At 35.7% G+C, this 17,545-nt stretch overlaps 1 pseudogene; it reads left to right on the top strand.

Moving 5' to 3' along the window:
- LOC100422022 (UDP glucuronosyltransferase family 2 member A3 pseudogene) lies at window positions 5,762-6,511 on the top strand (annotated as a pseudogene).

Here is a 17,545-nt window from a genome sequence, read left to right as displayed (position 1 = left end):
TTATAACTTGACACATCCATCTTACTGCTGTGTCCAGTTTCAATTGGCAGGAATAGGACCTCACATTCTGCATTTGTCCTATTTGGCTAGCAACTTAGAACTTTATAAAAGAGCCAAAGGCAGAGGAGAACAAAGGAAGGAGGATGTAACTTGTGGAATGCTGAGAAAGGTTAAAAATACCTTCAAATAACTCTCAATAAACTAGGTATTGATGGGATGTATCTCAAAATAATAAGAGCTTTTTATGACAAACCCACAGCCAATATCATACTGAATGGGAAAAAACTGGAAGCATTCCCTTTGAAAACTGGCACAAGACAGGGATGCCCTCTCTCACCACTCCTATTCAACATTGTGTTGGAAGTTCTGGCCAGGGCAATCAGGCAGGAGAAAGAAATAAAGGGTATTTAATTAGGAAAAGAGGAAGTCAAATTGTCCCTGTTTGCAGATGACATGATTGCAAAGTTAGAAAACCCCATCATTTCAGCCCGAAATCTCCTTAAGCTGATAAGCAACTTCAGCAAAGTCTCAGGATACAAAATCAAAGTGCCAAAATCACAAACATTCATATACACAAAGAACAGACAGAGAGCCAAATTATGAGTGAACTGCCATTCACAATCGCTTCAAAGAGAATAAAATACCTAGGAATCCAACTTACAAGGGATGTGAAGGACCTCTTCAAGGAGAACTACAAACCACTGCTCAATGAAATAAAAGAGGGTACCAACAAATGGAAGAACATTCCATGCTCATGGATAGGAGAAATCAATATTGTGAAAATGGCCATACTTCCCAAGGTAATTTATAGATTCAATGCCATCCCCATCAAGCTACCAATGACTTTCTTGGCAGAACTGGAAAAAACTACTCAAAAGTTCACATGGAAGCAGAAAAGAGCCGGCATTGCCAAGACAATCCTAAGCCAAAACAACAAAGCTGGAGGCATCATGCTACCTGACTTCAAAGGATACTACAAGCCTACAGCAACCAAAACAGCATGATATTGGTACCAAAACAGAGATATAGACCAATGGAACAGAACAGAACCCTCAGAAGTAATACCACACATCTACAACCATCTGATTTTTGACAAGCCTGACAAAAATAAGGAATGGGGAAAGGATTCCCTATTTAATAAATGGTGCTGGGAAAACTGGCTAGCCATATGTAGAAAGCTGAAACTGGATCCCTTCCTTACACCTTATACCAAAATTAATTCAAGCTGGATTAAAGATTTACATGTTAGACCTAAAACCATCAAAACCCTAGAAGAAAACCTAGGCAATACCATTCAGGACATAAGCATGGGCAAGGACTTCATGACTAAAACACCAAAAGCAATGGCGACAAAAGCTACAGTTGACAAATGGGATCTAATTAAATTAAAGAGCTTCTGCACAGCAAAAGAAACTATCATCAGAGTGAACAGGCAACTGACAGAATGGGAGAAAATTTTTACAATCTACCCATCTGCCAAAGGGCTAATATCCAGAATCTACAAAGAACTTAAATTTACAAGAAGAATCAAACCACCCCATCAAAAAGTGGGCAGAGGATATGAACAGACACTTCTCAAAAGAAGCCATTTATGCAGCCAACAGACTCATGAAAAAATGCTCATCATCACTGGCCATCAGAGAAATGCAAATCAAAAACCATAATGAGATACCATCTCACAACAGTTAGAAAGGGAATCATTAAAATGTCAGGAAACAACAGGTTCTGGAGAGAATGTGTAGAAATAGGAATGCTTTTACACTGTTGGTGGGACTGTAAACTAGTTCAACCACTGTGGAAGTCAGTGTGGCAATTCCTCAAGGATCTACAACTAGCAATACCATTTGACCCAGCCATTCCATTACTGGGTATATTCCCAAAGGATTATAAATAATTCTGCTTTAAAGACACATGCACACGTATGTTTACTGTGGCACTATTCACAATAGAAAAGACTTGGAACCAACCCAAATGTCCAACAATGGATTAAGAAAATGTGGCACATATACACCGTGGAATACTATGCAGCCATAAAAAACGATGAGTTCATGTCCTTTTTAGGGACATGGATGAAGCTGGAAAACACCATTCTGAGCAAACTATCACAAGGACAGAAAACCAAACAATGCATGTTGTCACACATAGGTGGGAATTGAACAAGGAGAACACTTGGACACAGGGTGGGGAACACCACACACCGGAGCCTGTAGTTAGTGGAGTGGGGGGAGGGGGGTGTGGTAGTATTAGGAGATATACCTAAGGTAAATGACGAGTTAAGGGGTGCAACTAACAGGTGCAGCACACCAACATGGCACATGTATACATATGTAAGAAATCTGCACGTTGCGCACATGTACCCTAGAACTTAAAGTATAATAAAATAAATAAATAAATAAAAATTTAAAAAAAGAAAAAATAAATGACCTATCCCTCATGCAAAAAAAAAATACCTTCAAATAAGGAAGAGGAACAGGCTATGACCTAATGCTTGCTTTGACCAGTATAAGCATGCCAGAGTAAATATTTAGGCTACATTGTAGGAGCTAAGAAGACGAAGTACATGAATTTCTTTATTACGGCTAGCAGATATTGAAAAATGTCAGCACAGGTCTTTGAATAAATTTTGCTTTTAAGAGAAGTTACTATTTATTCTTAATTAGATGGGGAGGAAAGTCTTTGAAGAGGAACCTCTACTTTTCTATTTACAGTGAAGCAGCTTAGGGTCACTGGAGCGGTCTTGTTGTTTGAAGTATCACCAGGAGTTCTTTTCTCAAGACCCAAAAAATTAAGGATCATGGACACCAATGGTACTGTTGGAAGAGAAGTTTAATAAATGAAAGAGAAAAGCTGTCTGCTTTGAAGAGGAAGCCCAAGAGGGTTGTCATTTGACAGTTGAATGCAAAGACTTTTATATACAAAAAAAAAAAAAACTAATAAGGCAGAGTGTTTCATGTGCATAAGGCATGAAAAACCAGTTTGGACTGGATGTTTTATTTCCAAACATATGAATTATTGTTAGCTCCACCTCTTCCCTCTAGTGTGTATGCAGGTCCTTAGCCTGAGTTACTGCATGTTGTTTTATTTTGCTTATTGACTCTGTGTCACTGCGGACGTGTCTGGTTCTGTGTAACTTTCCTTATCTATACAGCTACAGGTCTGTCTTAGGAAAGCACCCTGTGCAAGTTCCTTCATCTGAGTATGTCCGAAAAGAAAAGGAATGTGCTCACTGAAGACCACCGTGTGTGTGTAGGCAGAGCTCACTGGTTGCACAGAAGACAAAGGCTTTGGACTTTGCTTCTTATCTGCGCTTGCAGCTTGATTTCCTCTAGACTGTTATTTTTGGGGGAGGACTTCTACTGAGAACCTTGCCTTAACTATCTGCCTAACTGGTTCCTTATTTTCTCTTCTCTCATTAGTTTCTCTCTCCAGATGTCTATCACCTCCATGAGGGCTCAAAACAGTGAGTGATCAGCTCTTATATGCATTTGCTAGATGAGTTTTTTAAACTCATTTTGTTGGGGGGGTTCTCTGTTTGGCCACTGTACATTATGAAGGTTTAACATCCCAGACATTCCAAATAGGCCCCTTTGGCTTGGATGAGCAAAATGTCCTTTCTCTTCATTGCTGAGGAACTCAGTCTCTCATCTCTCACTGATCTACAAAAATAATAGTTCAGCTCCTTATACAAATGTGCAGACAAGCCATTTCAGCTTATCTTTGGGAGAAAAGGAAATGGAGAGGACCCGTTAGAATGTACTCCTAAACTATAATTAGGATTCTAAAAGGCAACAGCTCAGGAGAAAAAAAAAACATTCAGAATAAACCAAGGACTATCAACCAAAGGGAGGTCCAGGGCTCAAGAGGACTTACCAGTCCCACTGGAGAAGAAGCTCAAAATTGGAGAGGCATTCAGTGGGCCTCTGCTGCTACCTTAGCTTCAAGTTCAGGCATGTTTTATGGTGTCTCGAGTTTTGTCTGAGGACCCACATATTCAAATGTCAAGTTGTTATGGATGGAAAGAGTCAAACATTTTAAAATATCTAAAGAGTTTTATTCTGAGCCAAATATGAGTCAATGATGGCCTGTGACATAACACTCAGGAGATCCTAAGAACATTTCCCCATAGTGCTCAGGCTACAGCTTAGTTTTATACAGTTTAGAGGGACATTAGTCATCAATAAATACATGTAAGTTAAACATTGACTTGGTCTGAATAGGCAGGACAACTGAGAGCGGGGGCTTCCAGGTCATAGGCTAATTCAAGGATTTTCTATTGGCAATTGGTGGAGTTACATTGTTGTCTAAAGATATAGAAGTAATAGACAAGAACATCTAGGTTAAGATAAGGGGCTGCGAATACCAAGGTTTTATCATGCAGATAAAGCGGTCAGGCAACAGGCTTGAGAGAACATAGATGGTAAATGTTTCTTATCAAACGTAATGAGTGTGTTCCATTGGTTTTAAGGTCTGTGTTGATGTTAGTGCTTGTAAGATTTTCCTGAATTCAAAAAGGGAGGAGGGTATAATGAGGCATGTCCTATCCCACCACCCCACTTCCCATCATTGTCTGAACCAGTTTTTCAGATTAAGTTTGAAATGCTCTTTGCTGAGAGTAAGGATCCATTTAGGTGGTTGGGGATGCTTAAAATTTTATTTTTGGTTTACATCTACATAGAGTTGTTGAATAATTAGAACATAATGATAATATTTTACCTAATGTCATTATCAGCCTTCTGCTTATTAACACAGAAACCAAAACCATGTCTTTTCTTCTATACATTTTTTCCTGTCTCAGTTATTATCAGTAAATACAAATTCCAAATTAATTTCTCACATTTACTATTAACAATTGATGTTTTATTCCATTAGGTTGATATGTCTCAGTAACTAATGTACAATTTTTATCATTTTCCCTGTTTTTAAACTCATCTTTATATATCACTCTGTGTTGAGATGCAAGAATTTCTTGATAAAGAAAAGCTGGATCTTGTGACTGTCCTTTAAAACTTGAGTAAATAATTATTTGCCTATAAATTATCATTCAAACTAATAATTTTTTATTTAAAACTAATTTCTCCTATTTCAAACTGACTTTGTTCTGTAACGTCCTGCCCTGAACTTTCTCTGTGATCACTACTCACTGGAATGACTTTTAAATATCCTATACTTTTGTCATGCTTGTATTGATTGTGAAATGCTTCCTTTGGCAACAATAAATCCTAACGAAGCTTTCATCTCACCTCCTAAGTCAAATGTCTTACTAAAGCTTTTATTAATTATCAGATATTAAAGCAATTGTGGATTTTTCTCCTCTGAAATACTGAACACTTTGCACTTATTATATAGAATTCATATAATTACCCAAAGTCTCCAAGTGTATTCTCAGTAATTCTTTGTATTGTCCTTGTGCGCAAGGGATGTGAAACATGAGTTCTTCTAAACCATCCAACACCTTGGATTTAGTGTGGAATGAATGTAAGTGTGGTTGTGTACATACGTTTCTGCACATGAATTATTAAATCTAAAGAATTTTTAAAAATTTCTTTATCATCAGTCCAGATAATAAAAGTATCTTTATGTGTTTTATTTCTAAGCTCTAGAAGGTTGGAACAAATTTTCCCTGATACATTGCAACATTGCATTTCTTTTTGATATCTTCAATAAATGTGAAGCTAGCAACCAACCAATGAACTTTATTTACTCTTAAAATATTAATTTTTAACTTCTGTTCTTATATTGTCATTTCAATTTCATGCTTAGTAACTACAAAACTATTGCAGATGTGTGTGTGAGGGAAATGTAATCATGAGGTCCCAGAAGTCAGCTTTGGTATTTCTGCTCCTGCAACTCTTCTGTGCTGGCTGTGGATTCTGAGAGAAGGTCCTGGTGTGGCCCTGTGACATGAGCCATTGGCTGAATGTCAAGGTCATTCTAGAGGAGATCATAGTGAGGGGCCATGAGGTAACAGTATTGACTCACTCAAAGTCTTTGTTAATTGACTACAGGAAGCCTTCGGCACTGAAATTTGAGGTGTCCATATGCCACAGGACAAAACAGAAGAAAATGAAATATTTGTTGACCTAGCTCTGAATGTCTTGCCAGGCTTACCAAATAGTTATAAAATTAAATGTTTTTTTGTTGAAATAAGAGGAACTTTAAAAATGATGGGTGAGAGCATTATCTTCAATGAGACACTCATGAAGAAGCTACAGGAAACCAACTACGATGTAATGCTTAAAGACCCTGTGATTCCCCATGGAGACCTGATGGCTGAGTTGCTTCCAGTCCCTTTTGTGCTCACACCTAGAACTTCTCTAAGAGGCAATATGGAGTGAAGCTGTGGGAAACTTCCAGCTCCACTTTCCTATGTACCTGTGCCTATGACAGGATTAACAGACAGAATGACCTTTCAGGAAAGATTAAAAAATCCAATGCTTTCAGTTTTGTTCTACTTCTGGATTCAGGATTATGACCATCATTTTTGGGAAGAGTTTTAGAGTAAGGCATTAGGCAAGAGATTCTTGTTTTATTTTTAATTTAATTATCAAAATAAATATTTTTAAAAACTGCCATACATCGTCTATGACACATATATGCAGGTTAATGAGTTTTTATTATAGAAAATGTTGTAGCTGTTCTTCATAAAGAAAGTAGATTTGTTCTAAGTGTAAGATAACCTACTTCCTTAATACCAGTAATAAACTTACAAATGATCATCATTAACAAGGAGATTATATTTTGTATTTCCTCCAAATAGCCCAAATCTACATCGCATATTTTTGAAGAATCATTGATTGTTACTTTTATTGTTATACCATTTCTATTGAAACAAGATGCTAATCATTCTTTTCTCTCTCATCAAAAATTTCAAAAAAAAATCTTTAGAAAGTCGTCTTTGAATTATTTTTTCAAGAGTGGTTAAATGGAAACATTTTCTAGAATTCTCTAATTTCTTAGTTGATTACTTCACAAAAACTTGATAAAATATTATAAAAAGTTAAACGACTTTTGGTCTTGTGGTGCAAGAGATACAATTTTTACTTTACTGATATATATCCATTTGACTTATTTTTATTTCTTTGCTTTACTAATAAAAAGTTGTTTTGCTTTGCAGTTTTCATACACAGTTGTGATCAGAGCTGGTCAATGCAAGACATGATTTTAATCCAAATATGTCTGAGAAATATGTAGAAACATGAACAAAGGAACAATCATAATAGACACTAAATTATTGTTTAATGTATTCCACTGAATTCTAATACATAGATTGTTTTGCAGAACTAATATTCAGAGGATCCCACTTCAAATGTCCTTAGCCTTAGACATGTTTTGAAATTACATGTATTGATTTGCTCTATTTAATTGTGTATTCAGTAAGCTGTGCCTAGCTTAACATTTTATTTCCATAAGTTCTTAAGCGTAGACATATTTCATTTTATTATCCTTTGCTTTATTGTGCTTCACAGAAATTGCAATTTACAAATTAAAGTTTTTTTATTATACTTTAAGTTTTAGGGTACATGTAAAACGTCCAGGTTAGTTACATATGTATACACGTGCCATGTTGGTGTGCTGCAGCCACTAACTCGTCATTTAGCATTAGGTATATCTCCTAATGCTATCTCACTACCCCCCCCCCCCCACAGGCACCGCTGTGTGATGTTCCCCTTCCTGTGTCCATGTGTTCTCATTGTTCAATTCTCACCTATGAGTGAGAACATACGGTGTTTGGTTTTTTGTCCTTGTGATAGTTTGCTGAGAATGATGGTTTCCAGCTTCATCCATGTCCCTACAAAGGACGTGAACTCATCATTTTTTATGGCTGCATAGTATTCCATGGTGTATATGTGCCACATTTTCTTAATCCAGTCTATCATTGTTGGACATTTGGCTTGGTTCCAAGTCTTTGCTATTGTGAATACTGCCGCAATAAACATATGTGTGCATGTGTCTTTATAGCACCATGATTTATAATCCTTTGGGTATATACCCAGTAATAGGATGGCTGGGTCAACTGGTATCTCTAGTTCTAGATCCCTGAGGAATTGCCACACTGACTTCCACAATGGTTGAACTAGTTTACAGTCCCACCAACAATGTAAAAGTGTTCCTGTTTCTCCACATCCTCTCCAGCACCTGTTGTTTCCTGACTTTTTAATGAACGCCATTGTGACTGGTGTAAGGTGGTATCTCATTGTGGTTTTGATTTGCATTTCTCTGATGGCCAGTGATGATGAGCATTTTTTCATGTGTCTTTTGGCTGCATAAATGTCTTCTTTTCAGAAGTGTCTGTTCATATCCTTTGCCCACTTTTTGATGGGGTTTTTGTTTTTTTTCTTGTAAATTTGTTTGACTTCATTGTAGATTCTGGATATTAGCCCTTTGTCAGATGAGTAGATTGCAAAAATTTTCTCCCATTCTGTAGGTTGCCTGTTCAATCTGATGATATTTTCTTTTGCTGTGCAGAAGCTGTTTAGTTTAACTAGATCCTGTTTGTCAATTTTGGCTTTTGTTGCCATTGCTTTTGGTGTCTTAGACATGAAGTCATTGCCCATGCCTATGTCCCGAATGGTATTGCCTGGTTTTCTTCTAGGGTTTTGATGGTTTTAGTTCTAAGATTTAAGTCTTTAATCCATCTTGAATTAATTTTTGTATAAGGTGTAAGGAAGGGATCCAGTTTCAGCTTTCTACATATGGCTAGCCAGTTTTCCCAGCACCATTTATTAAATAGGGAATCCTTTCCCCATTTCTTGTTTTGTATGGTTGTGGATGTGTGGTATTACTTCTGAGGTTTCTGTTGTGTTCCATTGGTCTATATCTCTGTTTTGGTACCAGTACCATGCTGTTTTGGTTACTGTAGCCTTGTAGTATAGTTTGAAGTCAGGTAGCATGATGCCTCCAGCTTTGTTCTTTTGGCTTGGGATTGACTTGGCAATGTGGGCTCTTTTTTGATTCCATATGAACTTTAGAGTAGTTTTTTCCAATTCTGTGAAGAAAGTCATTGGTAGCTTGATGGGGATGGCATTGAATCTATAAATTACCTTGGGCAGTATGGCCATTTTCATGATATTGATTCTTCCTATCCATGAGCATGGAATGTTCTTCCATTTGTTGGTATCCTCTTTTATTTCATTGAGCAGTGCTGTGTAGTTCTCCTCGAAAAGGTCCTTCACAGCCCTTGTAAGTTGGTTTCCTGGGTATTTTATTCTCTTTGAAGTGATTGTGAATGGGAGTTCACTCATGATTTTGCTCTCTGGTTGTCTGTTATTGGTGTATAAAAATGCTTGTGATTTTTGCACATGGATTTTGTATCCTGAGACTTTGCTGAAATTGCCTATCAGCTTAAGGAGATTTTGGGCTGAGATGATGGGGTTTTCTAGATATACAGTCATGTCATCTGCAAACAGGGAGAATTTGACTTCCTCTTTTCCTCATTGAATACCCTTTATTTCCTTCTCCTGCCTCATTGCCCTGGCCAGGGCTTCCAACACTCTGTTGAGTAGGAGTGGTGAGAGAGGGCATCCCTGTCTTGTGCCAGTTTTCAAAGGGAATGCTTCTAGCTTTTGCCCATTCAGTATGATAATAGCTGTGGGTTTGTCCTAGGTAGCTCTTATTATTTTAAGATACATCCCATCAATACCTGATTTATTGAGAGTTTTTTAGCATGAAGCGTTGTTGAATTTTGTCAAAGGCCTTTTCTGCATCTATTGAGATAATCATATGGTTTTTGTGATTGGTTCTGTTTATATGCTGTATTATGTTTATTGGTTTGAGTATCTTCAACCAGCCTACCAGCCTTGCATTCCAGGGATGAAACCCACTTGATCATGGTGGATAAGCTTTTTGGTGTGCTGCTGGATTTGGTTTGCCAGTATTTTATTGATGATTTTTTCATCGATGTTCATCAGGGATATTGGTCTAAAATTCTCTTTTTTTGTTGTGTCTCTGCCAGGCTTTGGTATCAGGATGATGCTGGCCTCATAAAATGAGTTAGGGATGATTTACTCTTTTTCTATTGATTGGAATAGTTTCAGAAGGAATGCTACCAGCTCTTCCTAGTACCTCTGGTAGAATTTGGCTGTGAATCCATCTGGTCCTGGACTTTTTTTGGTTGGTAAGCTATTGATTATTGCCTCAATTTCAGAGCCTGTTATTTGTCTATTCAGAGATTCAACTTCTCCCTGGTTTAGTCTTGGGAGGGTGTATGTGTCGAGGAATTTATCCATTTCTTCTAGATTTTCTATTTTATTTGTGTAGAGGTCTTTATAGTATTCTCTGATGGTAGTTTGTATTTCTGTGTGATCAGTGGTGATATCCCCTTTATCATTTTTTATTGCATCTATTTGATTCTTCTCTCTTTTCTTCTTTATTTGTCTTGCTGGCGGTCTATCAATTTTGTTGATCTTTTCAAAAAACCAACTCCTGGATTCATTGATTTTTTGAAGGGATTTTGTATCTCTATAATCTTCAGTTCTGCTCTGATCTTAGTTATTTCTTGCCTTCTGCTGGCTTTTCAATGTGTTTGCTCTTGCTTCTCTAGTTATTTTAATTGTGGTGTTAAGGTGTCAATTTTAGATCTTTCCTGCTTTCTCTTGTGGGCATTTAGTGCTATAATTTTCCCTCTACACACTGCTTTGAATGTGTCCCAGAGATTCTGGTAGGTTGTGTCTTTGTTCTCATTGGTTTCAAAGAACATCTTTATTTCTGCTTTCATTTCGTTATGTACCCAGTAATCATTCAGGAGCAGGTTGTTCAGTTTCCATGTAGTTGAGCGGTTTTGAGTGAGTTTCTTAATCCTGAGTTCTGCTTTGATTGCACTGTGGTCTGAGAGACAGTTTGTTATAATTTCTGTTTTTTTACATTTGCTGAGGAGTGCTTTACTTCCAACTATGTGGTCAGTTTTGGAATAGGTGTGGTGTGGTGCTGAGAAGAATTTATATTCTGTTGATTTGGGGTGGAGAGTTCTGTAGATGTCTATTAGGTCTGCTTGGTGCAGAGCTGAGTTCAATTCCTGGATATCCTTGTTAACTTTCTGTCTCGTTGATCAGTCTAATGTTGACAGTGTGGTGTTAAAGTCTCCCATTATTATTATGTGGGAGTCTAAGTCTCTTTCTACGTCTCTAAGGACTTGCTTTATGAATCTGGGTGCTCCTGCATTGGGTGCATGTATATTTAGGATAGTTAGCTCTTCCTGTTGAATTGATCCCTTTACCATTATGTAATGGCCTTCTTTGTCTCTTTTGATCTTTGTTGGTTTAAAGTCTGTTTTTATCAGAGACTAGGATTGCAACCCCTGCATTTAAAAAAAAATATTACCCAATAGGCTATACAGCGATGCCAATACATAATGCCAAGTTGCAAGGCATGGATAATGGGAGAATGTGAGATGACTCTCTAATGGGTATAAAGCTTCCTTTTGAAGTGAAGAAAACCACTTTGGATCTAGATAGTGGTGGTAGTGGCACGACATTTCAAATGTGTTACATGCCAAGGAATCATACAGATTAAATGCTTAAAGTGTATAATTTTGTGGTGTGAAATTCATATATCAATTATTTAAAAAAAAAACTATTACCTGACCAGATTTGATCGACCAAGAGGCCATATAGTTTGTCAGTCCTTGGTTTATGCTCCAAGTTTAATTCCCACATGCTTGAAATAGTAAATGTGGGCATTTTTATCATTTGCATTAGAGACATAGCATGTTTTGAAACTATAATGTATTATGCAATTATATGAACACTAAAATTATTGCGGAAATTTTTTGACTTGTTTAATGATAATAGTACAAATATTATTTTGCTGTATACACAATTGTTAGTGCTTTGCAATATTAATGAATTTGTTCTTTAAATAACACATGATATTGATAATGTGATGACAAATCTTGCCATTCCTTTAGTGAGATAGCTAAGGCAAATAAAGTTCAAGTAACTTTTCCAGTCCCACATCGTTATATAGTGGTTTCTAAGACTTGAATCAAGGCCATCTGGATCCAGAGTGCCAGCTCTTAACCACCATGTTATATTGACTCTCCTATTCGGGGTACAGATATTTTCCAAGTGTAGTATCGCAGTTTCCTGTTATGTAGATATATATAAATTGTAATTTTATTACAAATGTATAGTTTAAAATATGTAGAATTATTATTCCAGGTGTGTATCACTGCATAACAAATAGTTTTCAAATGTAGGGCCTTAAAACAACTGTAATCATTTTATTATCATGTCTCGGAATCTGTATGTTAGGTGGGCTCAGTTATGTGATCCTTCACAGAGCTTCTTAGGTAGCTACTTTTCTGTGGTGCCTGGGTCTATAATTATCTGAAGATCATTCACTTACATACTTAGAGATTCGTGTTGAAAGGCTCAAAGTGCTAGTGGGCTACCAGGATTCCTTAAGCATATATTTGTGTCTCTCTACAAATTGTCATTTATTATGGGGACTACAGGTTGAGTTATTTAGTAATAGTGAGCGAAACAAAAAGACATGAAAAGAAGAAACAGAAAGTGCGAAAGAGAAACAGAGGGAGAATATGCTGTGTTTCCAGCAGTGCTTTGAAAGTTTAGCTGCATTATTTTCATTACACTCTTTTTGTTGAGACAGTTACAAACTTTGCCAAACTTCAAAGGGAGGGAATATTAATTGATAGGAAAATTGTCAATGTATCTATAGTCATGTCTCAAAATAACAACAAATATAACCCTTTGAAGAAGGCAGCAGAAATTATTAAACTATTGTATAATTCATAAAATATTAAAAATAGTACAATAAAAAATATTAAAATTACATGTATTTAGGTTTCTACAATTATTGCAATTTTTAAACATTTTATTTATTCATACATATTTTCAAAAATAGAACAAATGTCCTAAAAACAAGCTGCAAGTGGATAAAATAATATATGAGAAATATTGTCAAGTTTTTTGAATGACACTAGCGAATTAATAATGTGATGTCACATTTTGAAACTTCCTGTCTTAAATGGATGTGTTTATTTCACAAATTAAACTTTAAATATGATAATTAACACATGAAAACTTTCTGAAAAGTTAAACATTGCAGAATTATATAGAATAAAAATGTAAATTCTCATCCTTGTAGTTACATGTGTTTTTTGAGATTCTTTCTTCTTTTTACCAGTTTACATATATTTTATTTCATTGCAAAAAATAATTTTTTGTTTTTCTGGAAACTACTTTTTCTGTTTAGCAAAGTGATAGTCAGCCTGTTTTCTGCAATGGCTCCCCTCATACATTTGTTGGAGGTACATGTGTTCAGTGGCTGAAAGCCATTTAAGTGCTGGAGGAATCATTCTGTTCATACATGTGCTGATGTGCATGGATTTTTCATGACAGATTCCTAAATGTAGAACTTCAGTTTCAAATGGCATATTTACATTTTATTTAAAAGGGTTATTTCAAATTATACTCCCTCAAAATAGATTTCTCAGGTTTTTATAGGGTGCAAATCTTCTGTATGACATCAATTTGTTGGCATTAATTCTATTTTACTGAGCATCAGTAACTTTTTAATCTTTTATTCTTATGGGCCATTTTTACTTTGAATTGCTTCTTCATATTTTAATCACTTTTTAATTAGATTGTTTGTCAGTTTTGGTTAGTGATTTGTAGTTCTCACTGAACAATGGATACCAATCTTTTGTTATGTGTGTCATAGGATAGGTTTTATGTGAATTAATTCAGATTTATAAGCATGATAAAACAACATTATTAATCTTTGGCACTATATAAGTTCTGTGTTTCTTTATATCTGTATTAATTCCTAGATTATTTGTATAAAATTTTCTATAATCTCTCTATCTCATCAATGTTTTAGTGTGTGTGTATATGTATATTACATGATTTATCTATGTCTATATAATTATAAAGATACATATATGTATACATATATGTTTTTAATCAGATCTTATGCTGTAGAATATTTTTGTGAGAAGTGGTTAATGGCAAGACTTTTTAGTGACAAAGACAACTGGGTTTCTGTTAATCTGGACTAGTTTGATCATAAAGTGCTTCCCTGATGTGTAGACTAAAGGAGATTTTTGGCTTGATTTAGCTATTTTCCACAAAATTTATAAACTTTTTGGTATCCTTTGTATATATTTTTTGACTTACTAGAAATTTATGTGTCCGTACTACATTTATAGGAGGAATGAATCAAAAATCTATGTGGAAAATAATAAAACAGATATTATCATTTAAAGTATAGCTATGTAGAATAATAATTATTTCAATCTGTCTTCAAAATACACATTGAATTTCACAGGATATCTATTAGCTAGTTAATTGATGCTGTGTCTTGTTTTAAAAGAAATGGACATATATATGTACCTGTATATTTAGCAAGATTGAAAATTCACTAAGTCCCTTTAGAGTGTAATTTCTATATTATCACAACCTAAAATAAAGGATTTACATTTCTTACTACAAGTCAAATATGATAATAAAACTCATATCAAATTTAGGATTTTTTTTCTAGTTCTCTTAAGCATGATGATGGTGTTTTGATGAGAATTGAAATGGATTTATAGATTTCTTTTGGCAATGTGTTCATTTTCACAAAATTGATTCTACCCATCCATGAGCATGGGATATATTTCCATTTGTTTGTGTCATCTACGACATTTTTCAGCAGTGTTTAGTAGTTTTCTTTGTAGAGTTCTTTCACCTTCTTGGTTAGGTAGATTCCTTAGTAATTTGTTTTGTTTTTCTTTTTCTTTTGCAACTATTTTCAAAATGGATGAGTTTTTTATTTGATTCTCAGTTTTGAAACCTGCATAGCCAAAGAAAGACTAAGAAAAAGAACAAACCTACAGGCATCACATTACCCAAAGTATTACAAGGCATATTACAAGTTACCAAAACAACATGGTATCAGTATAAAAACAGGCATATCGATCAATGGAACAGAAGAGAAATTCCAGAAATAAAGACAAGTACTTACAGCCCACTGAACTTTGACAAAGCAAACAGAAACATAAAGTGGGGAAATGACACCCTATTCAACAAATGGGGCTGGAATAATTGGCAATCCCCATGTAGAAGAATGAAACTGCATCTTTGTCTCTCCCTTATAAAAAGTCAACTCAAGATGGATCAAATAATGAAATCTAAGACCTGAAACAATAACAAATTCTAGAAAGTAACATTGGAAAAACTCTTCTAGACATTAGGTTAGGCAAAAACCTCATGACCAAATATCCAAAAGCAAATGCAACTAAAGCAAAGATAAAGAGTTGTGATTTAATCAAACTAAAAACTTCCGCCAGCAAAAGAAATAATCATCTGTGTAAACAGACAACTCACAGAATAGTGGAAAATATTCATGAACTATTTATCTGACAAAGGACTAATGTCCAGAATCTTCAAATGGCTAAAAAAAAGCAAAAACCCACCAAAAAGTAGCCTAATGTAATAAATAGACAATTCTTAAAAGAAGATATATAAATGGCCAACATATATGAAAAAATGCTCAACTTCACTAATTATCAGGAAAATGCAAATCAAAACCACAATGCAATACCACTATACTCCTGAAAGAATGAATATAATTTAAAAATCCAAAAATAATAAAATGTTGGCATAGATGTGGTAAAAAGGGGACAGTTTTATGCTGCTATGGGAATGTAAACTAGTACAAGTAATATGGAAAACCATATGAAGATTTCTATAAGAAATTACAGTAGAAGTACAGTTTGATCCACCTATCGCACTACTGTGTATCTTCCCGGAGGAAAGAAAATTTTTATATGAAAAAGACCCACACACATACATGTTTGCAACAGTACTATTCGCAATTAAAAAAGAAAAAGAATGGAACAAGCCTAAATGCCCATCAACCAACCAATAAGTGGATAAAGAAAATGTGGTATACATACAAACACACACACACAGATGTTGCAGGAAGTCAGGGATCCCGAATGGAGGGACTGGGTGGAGCTGAGGCAGAGGAACATAAATTGTGAAGATTTCACTTTAATATGGACATTTATCAGTTCCCAAATAATACCTTTAGAATTTCTTATGCCTGTCTTACTTTAATATCTTAATGCTGTTATCTTCATAACCTGAGGATGTACATCACCTCAGGGCCACTGTGATAATTGTGTTAACTGTACAAAGTGCTTGTAAAACATGTGTGTTTGAACAATAAGAAATCAGTGCACCTTGAAAAAGAACAGAATAACAACAACATTTAGGGGACAAGGGAAGACAACCATAAGGTCTGACTGCCTGTGAGGTGGGGCAAAAAGAGCCATTTTTTCTTCTTTCAGAGAGCCTATAAATGGACGTGCAAGTAGGGAAGATATCGCTAAATTCTTAGCCTAGCAAGGAATATTAATATTAGTAATCTGGGAAAGGAATGCATTCCTGGGGGGAGGTCTATAAACAGCCACTCTGAGAATGTCTGTCTTACGTGGTTGAGATAAGGACTGAGGTATGTCCTGGTCTCCTGCAATACCCTCAGGCTTATTAGGGTGGGGAAAATCTCCACCCTGGTAAATTTGTGGTCAGACCAGTTCTCTGCTCTCGAACCCTGTTTTCTGTTGTTTAAGATATTTATCAACACAATACATGCACCACTGAACATAGACCCTTATCAGTAGTTCTGCTTTGCCCTTTGTCCTGTTCCCTCAGAAGCATGTGATCTTTGTTCTGCCTTTTGTCCTTTGAAGCATGTGATCGTTGTACCTACTCCCTGTTCCTACACAACTCCCCACCCCACCTTTTGAAACCCTTAATAGAAAACCTGCTGGTTTGAGGCTCAGGTGGGCATCATGGTCCTACCAATATGTGATGTCACCCCCGGCAGCCCAGCTGTAAAATTCCTCTTTTTGTACTCTTTCTCTTTATTTCTCAGCTGGCCAACACTTATGGAAAATGGGAAGAACCTACATTGAAATATTGAAGGTGGGTTCCCCTGATACAAACACACACAAACACACACACACACACACGTATACACACGCATATACACTATATATATATATATATATATATATATATATATATACCATGGAATACTACTAAGCTGTAAAAAGAAACAAACTAATGGCATTAACAGCAACTTGCATGAAGTGGGAGAGCATTATTCTAAGTGAAGAAATTCAGGAATAGAAAACTGAACATCGTCAATTGTCACTTCTAAGTGGGATCTAAGCTATAAGGATGCAAAAGCATAAAGATGATGTAATGGGCTCTAAGGATTCAGATGGGAGTGTGGGAGGGGGTGAGGGATAAAGAGTATACATTCAGTGCAAGGTACACTTCTCACATGATATGTGCCACGTAACCTCAGAAATTACCACTAAAAAACGTATGCATCTAATCAAACACCACCTGTTCCCAAATAACTATTGAAGTAATTAAAAATATCAGAATAAAATCAACGAGAAAAATATCTTTAAATATCTGGAAAAAATAGAATTTGCTCATGAAACCAAAGATGTGGCAAAACAGTTCAATTTTACAGTAGGAAGCAGGTAACAGTGGCTATATTTCTAATTTCACATAATTTCCACTGA

The sequence above is a fragment of the Homo sapiens genome, chromosome 4 (assembly GCF_000001405.40).
Source record: "Homo sapiens chromosome 4, GRCh38.p14 Primary Assembly".
NCBI lineage: Eukaryota > Metazoa > Chordata > Mammalia > Primates > Hominidae > Homo > Homo sapiens.
Note: the sequence above shows the minus strand (reverse complement) of the source record. Positions and strands in the feature narration are given on the sequence as shown.